General features: G+C 40.4%; 1 long non-coding RNA gene across 1 annotated transcript; it reads left to right on the top strand.

The window, feature by feature from the left end:
• Window positions 1–754: 754 nt before the first annotated feature.
• On the top strand, window positions 755–7,931 carry LOC101928808 (uncharacterized). The gene is made up of 2 exons (XR_244519.1): window positions 755–978; window positions 4,294–7,931. It is a non-coding gene; the product is annotated as an uncharacterized LOC101928808 (long non-coding RNA).
• The last annotated feature ends 409 nt before the right edge of the window (window positions 7,932–8,340 follow it).

Genomic DNA, 8,340 nt, shown 5'->3' on the forward strand with positions numbered 1-8,340 from the left:
TCATTTTTTTAATTATTTCAATCTCTTTGAAAAATGTATCTGATAGAATTCTGAGTTCATTCTCTGTGTTATATTATTTTTGAGCTATCTCAAAACGGATGTTTTGAATGCTCTGAAACATCACGTATTTCTTTTTCCCCAATGTGGGTCCCTGGTACCTTAGTTAGTTCATTGGTTGAGGTTATTTTCTTCTGGAATGTCTTGATACTTGTAGATGGTCACCTATGTCAGGGCATTAAAGAGTTTGGCATGTATCATAGTCATCACTGACTGTACTTCTTTGTACTCATGCTTCTTGGAAAGGCTTTCCACATATTCAAAAGGACTTGGCTGTTGTGATCTAAGATGTGTCTTCTTTAGGGAGCACCCCAAACCCAGTAACACTGTGGTTCTTGCAGACTTATATAGCTACCACTTTCATGATTCTCAACAAGATCCAGGAGAATTCGCTGGATTACTAAGCACAGACTTTTTTTTTGTTTCTATTCCCTTTTACTGTCTCTCAAACAAACGAAATCTCTCTCTGTTTTGAGCCACCTGAAGCTGGGGGTAGAGTGATCAAAGCGCCCTTGTAGCCACCACCACTATGACTACTGTTTCAGGACAGTGTAGGAAGGACAACTCAAACACTCAAGTGGGAGGGAGAGGAAAACTAAAACTTTATTACTATAAGCAAATATCACAACAAAAACAACCTTATAACAAGAGAAGACAAAATGTAACCGATTCTCATCAGACTGCAGGAAGAGTCATCACCAGAGTCGAAAGGAAGATGCCTGGGAGCCTGCAGTCGAAGTTTTAAGCAAACGTCACAGCAAAAACAGCCTTAAAAGAAGAGAAGACAAAATGTAACCAAAGCTTACCAGACCACAGGAGGGTCATCACCGGAGTCAGAAGGCGGACGCCCGGGATCCTGCAGTCGGACTTGGGTCATGCCCCAGCATACGACAACACAGCAGCCTTCAGCTCCTCCTTCGTGTAAGCTCCTTTTATTAGTCCAGTTCTTACCTTGGACACCCTCTGTTGCTTCCTTGGGAGGGCCCTTCCCGAGCAAGCAACATTTAAGCAATTGCTCCGGGAGTGGTGTTTTGGGAGCAGTGTTGCGGGACATACTCGGGGGACTTGAACAATCGTTCCAGGAGCAGTTTCCAGGAATGTGTTCCAGGATTTGAGTTAAGTTCTAGGCTTTTAGCAAAATCTTACACAAGGTGTTTACCTTTACACTTTAGGTGCCCCTGCCTTTTATAGACGGAGGCATATTTTAAAATGGTGTTAGCGTGGCCAATATTTTCTCTTCCTACAACCACGCTGGGTCAGACCTAAAGCCAGCACAGCACTCGATATCTCACCCAATGCCTGCTGTAACCACTCCCTGGTTACCACCTATGTTTGCTCAAGACCTTGGAGCTCTACAATGAGCAGGTGGCAAAGCCAGCCAGGCTTATGTCATTCCCGTCAGAGTGGCAAGCTACCCCAGTCTTTGGTGGGGTCGGGAAGTGCTATCCAGGAGCCAGGGACTAAAGTTTAAAACCTTAGAAGTCTACCCGGTGTTCTCTTGTACTGCAGCTGAGCTAGCACTCAAACCACAAGATGCAATTCTTCCCACTCTTTCCTCCACTTTCCAAAAGCAGTGGAGCCTCACCCCATGGCCAACACCAGCACAGGTTTATGGATAGTACTGCCAGACTACTACCAATGTCCCGTTAAGGCTCAAGGGCTCTTGAGTCAACTTGTGGTGAATGCTGCCTTACATGGAACTCATCCTTCAGGGCAGTGAGCTCCCCTCTGTCCCACAACAGGTTCAGAAATGCCATCCAAGACCCAAGTTCTGGAATTGGAGACCCCAGGTGCCCACTTGGTGCTCTACTTTGCTGAACTCAATCAGAAGGTGTCTCACCCCATATTCACCACAGCTGTGCATGTGCTGAGTCTCTTTGGAAGCCAGCAGGTCTCAGTGCCTCACCCATGGCCCTTTACATAATACATTTGTATCACATCTGGTTATTCAGGGCCCAAAGGCCCTTCAGTTAGCAGGTGACAAATCCTGCCAAAAGTGGGTTCTTCTCTTCAAGGCAGCAGGTTCCCTTCTGGCCCAGAGGCTGCCTAGAAATGTCATCCAGGAGTCAGGGCCTTAAAAGCAGGCTTTGGAACACTGAGCAGTACCCTGTCCTGCTGTGGCTGAGCTGGTATCCAAGATACAAGACAAAGTCTTCCCCACTCTTTCCTCTTCTTTCTTAAAGTGGAAGGAAGCTGTCTCTATTGTAGACATGAGCTGTGCAACCTGGGTTTGGGGGAAGGGTGATGCCAGCACTCCTGTAGCCACCCAAGCTGGTGTCTCTGTAGATGGCATGCCCACCTGGCCTACTGTCTCTGGGCCCATTTCCACAATAGGTCTTACATCAAAATTGCAGTCCTTGCTGCCTAGACTGCTTTTCAAGTTTAGTAGGGCCCCAGAGCACTTTATCCTGTGCTGACAAGGCATGTAGGAACTCAGTTTCTGACCACTGAGATCAGTCATTCTTTTCTGATTTGGGCTGGTTTCAATGCTCTCTGCAAGGGTGTCAGCTGAGTTTGTTCCGAATTTCCTTTCTGTTATAACAGACAGCACAGAGTTCAGTGTCTCACAATTGCAGTGCTTTCCCTCAGCCAGCGTGCAGAAACACTCTCCACACCATGCCACCACTATAGGGATTGGAGGAGAGGTGGCGCCAGTGATTCAACACTGTCCTACCTCTTCAGTGCCTCTTTCAGTGGTATACAATTAAAACAAGTTACTGTGAGTGCTCACCTCATTTTGAACTCATAAAGGTGCTTTTCTTGTGTAGATATTTATTAAATTGGTGTCCTTGCAGGGCAGATGATCAGTGGAGCCTTCTGTTTCACCATCTTGCTCCCTGTGGAGAGTTCTTATCATGAAGAAATGTTGAATTTTATTCAGTGCATTTTCTGCTCCTGTTAAGATGATCATATGGTTTTTGTCCTATATTCTGTTGATGTGATGCATCACTTTTATTTATTTGTGTATGTTAAATCATCCTTGCCTCCCTGAAATATATCCCATTTGATCATGGTGTATTATCTTTTGATGTACGGCTGGATTTGGTTTTCTCGTATATTGTTGTGAATTTTTGCATCTATATTCTTCAGGGATATTGACCTGTAGTGTTTTTTATTTTTTTTATTTTTTATTGTGTGTGTGTGTGTGTGTGTGTGTGTGTGGTATTATTGTCTTGTTTTGATAGCAGAGAATGCTGGACTCATAGAATGAGTTAGAAAGAACAATTCTAATTTTGTTTACTTGGATATTTTTTCTTGGTTACTCTAGCTAATGTTTTATCAGTTTTATGGATTTAAAAAAACAGCTTTTCATTTTGTTGATTTTTTGTATTGCCTTTTTAGTCTCTATTTTGTTTAGCTCTCCTCTGATCTTTATTATTTCTCTCCTTCTAATGATTTTAGATTGATATGTTCTTACATTGAAACTTCCTTGAAATGCATCTTTAAATTGTTTATTTGAATTTTTTTACTTTTCATGTAGGCACTTATTTCTATAAACTTCCCTCTTAGCACTGCTTTTTGCTGTATCCCATAGGTTTAGTTATATTGTGTTTTCACTTTTATTTATATCAAACATATTTTTGATTTTAATCTCAATTTCTTTGTTGACCCAATAGTTATTCAGGTGCATGTTGTTTAATTCTTAGGTATTTGTATAATTTCTGAAGTTCTGTGAAGATACTTAATATAATTGCAACTTCAAAAAATTGATTGAGACTTGTTTTGTGACTTAAAATATGTTCTATTCTGGAGAATGTTTCATGTGCTCATAGAACGAATGTGTATTCTGTAGCTGTTGGATATAATGTTCTGTAAATATCTGTTAAGTCAATTTGGTCTAAAGTGTAGTTTAAACTCAATGTTTCTTTGTTAATTTTCTGTCTAGATGATCTGTCTAATGCTGAGAGTTATGTGTTAAATTTATCCACTATTATTGTCATTGAGTCTTATCTCTTTATTTAGATCTAGTAATATTGGATTTCTACATCTGTGTGTTCCAGTGTTGGGTAGATATATATATATCAATTTATATATTATATATAAACTGATATATATATAAAATTTATATATTATATATAAATTGATATATATATAAATTTATATATAATATATAAATTGATATATATTTGCATTTTTATATTTTTATATATATAAATATATATATTTATATATATATATATTTAGAATTGTTGTATCTTTTTGCTAAATTTATTTATTTTCTTTCTTTTATTTTAGGTTCCAGGGATACATGTGCAGAATTGTTACATAGGTAAGTTGTGTCTCATGGGGGTTTGGTGTACAAATAATGTTGCCACCCAGGTAATTAGTGTGGTCCCACCCTCCATCTTCAAATAGACCCCAGTGTCTGTTATTCCCTCATTTGAGCCCATGCGTACTCAATGAATTGCATCTACTTATAAGTGAGAATGTGGGGTATTGGGTTTTCTGTTCCTGAATTAATTTTTCAAACCTAATGGCCTCCAGCTCCACCCGTGTTTCTACAGAGGCCACGGTCTTATTCTTTTTGTGGCTTCATAGTGTTCCATGGTATATAATGATGTTCTTTTTTTCTAGTTATTGTTTTTGATTTAAAGTTTGTTTTATCTTATATGAGAATAGAAACACCTGCTTGCTTTTGGTTTCTCTTTACTTGGAATATTTTCTTCCGTCTCTCTACTTTCAGTCTATATGTGTCTTTAGTGGTGACGTGTTTCTTTTCAGCAGCATACAGTTAGGTCTTGTTTTTAGAATCCATTCAGTCCATTTGTATAATTGAAGTGACAAATTTATTTTCATTCAAAGTTATTATTGATATATGAGGTTTTCTTTCTGATGGTGCAATTTTTACCTGGATGTTCTGAGTATTCTTTGTTCTTTTTTAAAACCTATTATTGTTTAGTGTTGTGGTATGGTGGCTTTCTGTAGCGGTAAAATTTGAGACTTTTTATTACTCATTTGTGTGTTTGCTTTAAGAGTAAGTTTTACACTTTAATATGTTTTCAAGATAGTAGATTTTGCCCTTTTTCTTCCAGGTTAGGACTTTATTAAGCATTTCTTGTAGTGCCAGTCTAATGGTTATGAATTTCCTCAGTTTTTGCTTGTTTGGCAAATAATTTACTTAAATTTTTTAAAAAATGATCTGGATATAGTTTTCCTGGATAACAGTTGTTTTCTTTCAGCACTTAACATCTCATGCCATTATCTCTGGGCCAGTAAAATTTTGACTGAGAAAGCCATTCTTAATCTGATGGAGATTTGTTTATATGTGACTAGATGCTTTTATTTTGCTGTTTTTAGAATTATCCCTTTGTCTGTGACTTATGGCAGTTTCACTATCATATGCCAGTGAGACATTTTTGAATTGTATTTATTTGGGTTGATATGGTTTGGCTCTGTGTCCCCACTCAAATCTCACCTTGAATTAAATCCCCATAATCCCCATGTGTTAAGGGTGGGACCGGGTGGAGATAGTTGAATCATGAGGGCAGTTTCCTTCATGCTGTTCTCATGACAGTAAGTGAGTTCTCACAAGATCGGATGGTTTTATAGGTATCTGACATTTCCCCTGCTTGCACTCCCTTCATCCGGCCACCCTGTGAAAAAGGTGCCTTTTTCTCCTTTGCTTTCTGCCATGATTATAAATTTCTTGGGGCCTCCCCAGCCATGTGGAACTGTGAGTCAATTAAACTTTTTTTTTAAATAAATCACCCAGTCTTGGGTATTTCTTCATAGCAGTATAAAAATGGACTTATACAGTAAATTGTTACCTAGGTAGTGGGGTGCTGCTATCAGGATACCCAAAAATGTGGAAGCGACTTTGGAACCGGGTAACAGGCAGAGATTGGAACAGTTTGGAGGACTTAGAATAAGATAGGAAAATGTGGGAAAGATAGAAACTTCCTAGAGATTTGGAGGACTCAGAAGAAAGGAAGATGTGGCAAAGTTTGGAACTTCCTAGAGACTTGTTAAATGGCTTTGACCACAATGCCGATAACGGTATGTGCAATAAAAAGCAGGCTGAGGTGGTCTCAGATGGCGGTGAGGAACTTGGTGGGAACTGGAGTAAAGGTGACCCTTGCTGTGTTTTAGCAAGGAGACTGGCAGCATTTTGGCCCTTCCCTAACGATTGGTGGAACTCTGAACTTGAGGGAGATGGTTTAGGGTGTCTGGCAGAAGAAATTTCTAAGCAGCGAAACATTCAAAAGGTAACTTGGGTGCTGTTAAAAGCATTCCACTTTAAAAGGAAATCAGCATAAAAGTTCGGAAAGTGTGCGGCTTGACAATGTGACAGAAAAGAAAAACCCATTTTCTGAGCAGAAATTCAAGCTGGCTGCAGAAATTTGCATAAGTAACAAGGAGCCGAATGTTAATTTCCAAGATCATGGGGAAAATGTCTCCAGGACATGCCAGAGACCTTTGCAGTTGCCCCTCTCATCACAGGCCCAGAGGCCTAGGAGGAAAACATGGTTTCCTGGGCCAGATGCAGGGCCTGCCCGCTATGTGCAACCTAGGGACTTGGTGCCCTGTGTCTCAGCCACTCCCATCATGGCTAAAAGGGGCCAAGGTACAGCTCGGGTTGTTGCTTCAGAGGGTGCAAGCCCCAAGCCTTGGCATCTTACACGTGGTGTTGAGCCTGTGGGTGCACGGAAGTCAAGAATTGAGGTTTGGGAACTTCTGCCTAGATTTCAGAGGATATCTGGAAACACCTGGATGCCCAGGCAGAAGTTTGCTGCAAGGGCAGGGCCCTCATGGAGAACATCTGCTAAGCCAGTGCAGAAGGCAAATGTGGGGTTGGAGCCCCCACACAGAGGGCCCACTGGGGAACCACCTAGTGGGCCTGTGAGAAGAGGAGCACTGTCCTCCAGACCCCAGAATGGTCGCACCTGAAAAATCAGTAGACACTCAACACCAGCCTGTAAATGCAGCCAGGATCCGGGCTATAACCTGCAAAGCAACAGGGGCGGAGCTGCCCAAGGCTGTGGGAACCCACCTCTTCCATCAGTGTGACCTGGATGTGAGGCATGGAGTCAAAGGAGATCATTTTGGAGCTTTAAGATTTGACTGCCTCGCTGGATTTTGGACTTGTATGGGGCCTTTAGCTCCTTTATTCTGGCCAATTTCTCCCATTGGGAATAGTTGTATTTACCCAATACTTGTACCTCCATTGTCTCGAGGAAGTAACTAACTTGCTTTTTAATTTTACAGGCTTGTAGGCAGAAGGGGCTTGCCCTGTCTCAGATAAGACTTTGGTCTGTGGATTTTTGAGTTAATGATGAAATGAGTTAAGACTTTGGAGGACTGTTGGGAAGGCATTATTGTTTTTGAAATGTGAGGACATGAGATTTGGCAAAGGACCAAGGGCGGAATGATATGATTTGGCTCTGTGTCCGCACCTAACTCTTATCTTGAATTCTAATTCCCATAATTCCCACATGTTGTGGGAGGGACTTGGTGAGACATAATTGATTCTTGGGGTCAGTTTCCCCCATACCACTGTGGTAGTGGGTAAGTCTCATGAGATCTGATGATTTTATAAGGGGTTTCCGCTTTGGCTTCTCTCTCATCCTCTCTTGCCACCACCATGAAAGAACTTTTCACCTTCCTTCATGATTGTGAGGCCTCCCCAGCCGTGTGGAACTGTGAGTCCATTAAACCTGTTTCTTCCAAGTCTTAGGTATGTCTTTATCAGCAGGTCTACAGATTTGTCATTGGTTTTGTTAAATTATGCCAAAATTAATAATGTTTATAAGCTGTGTAATCAAATACCAATTTATATATTTTCTGTTTTGTTTTGTTCTTTTTTTTGTCATTGGGGAAAATTTAGAAACTGTAAATGTAAAGAAGAAAATTAAAATTATGTATTTACTTCAAGAGATAACCACTATTTGCATTTTACTTTCCAAGATAATTCAAGCTCTGGGCCCCTTGTTTTATTGAGGCAATATAGCAGCTTTACCTGTCAGGATTTAGATAGCAATGAAGGAAATAGGTGTGGACCCTCCCTTTATAAGACTTTCAGTCTAGTTGTAAAAGACAAATTCCAAATGACACAAATAAAAACAAAGAACGTGTGGATAAATTGATTAAGTGAAATGAAAGTAAGGATCTGAAAGCAGTAAGAGAGAATAATAGAAAGATGGGGAGATGGGTAGTAATTTGACTGTCTTGAGACTTGAATTTGAACCAGAGTTGATGCATTGAGACCCAAAAGGGAACCAGACGGAATAAAGACTTGGACAAAATACCCAACATTAACTTTCTGCAAGAAACCTAAAGCATGAA

Source organism: Homo sapiens, chromosome X (genome assembly GCF_000001405.40).
Source record: "Homo sapiens chromosome X, GRCh38.p14 Primary Assembly".
Classification (NCBI taxonomy): Eukaryota; Metazoa; Chordata; class Mammalia; order Primates; family Hominidae; genus Homo; species Homo sapiens.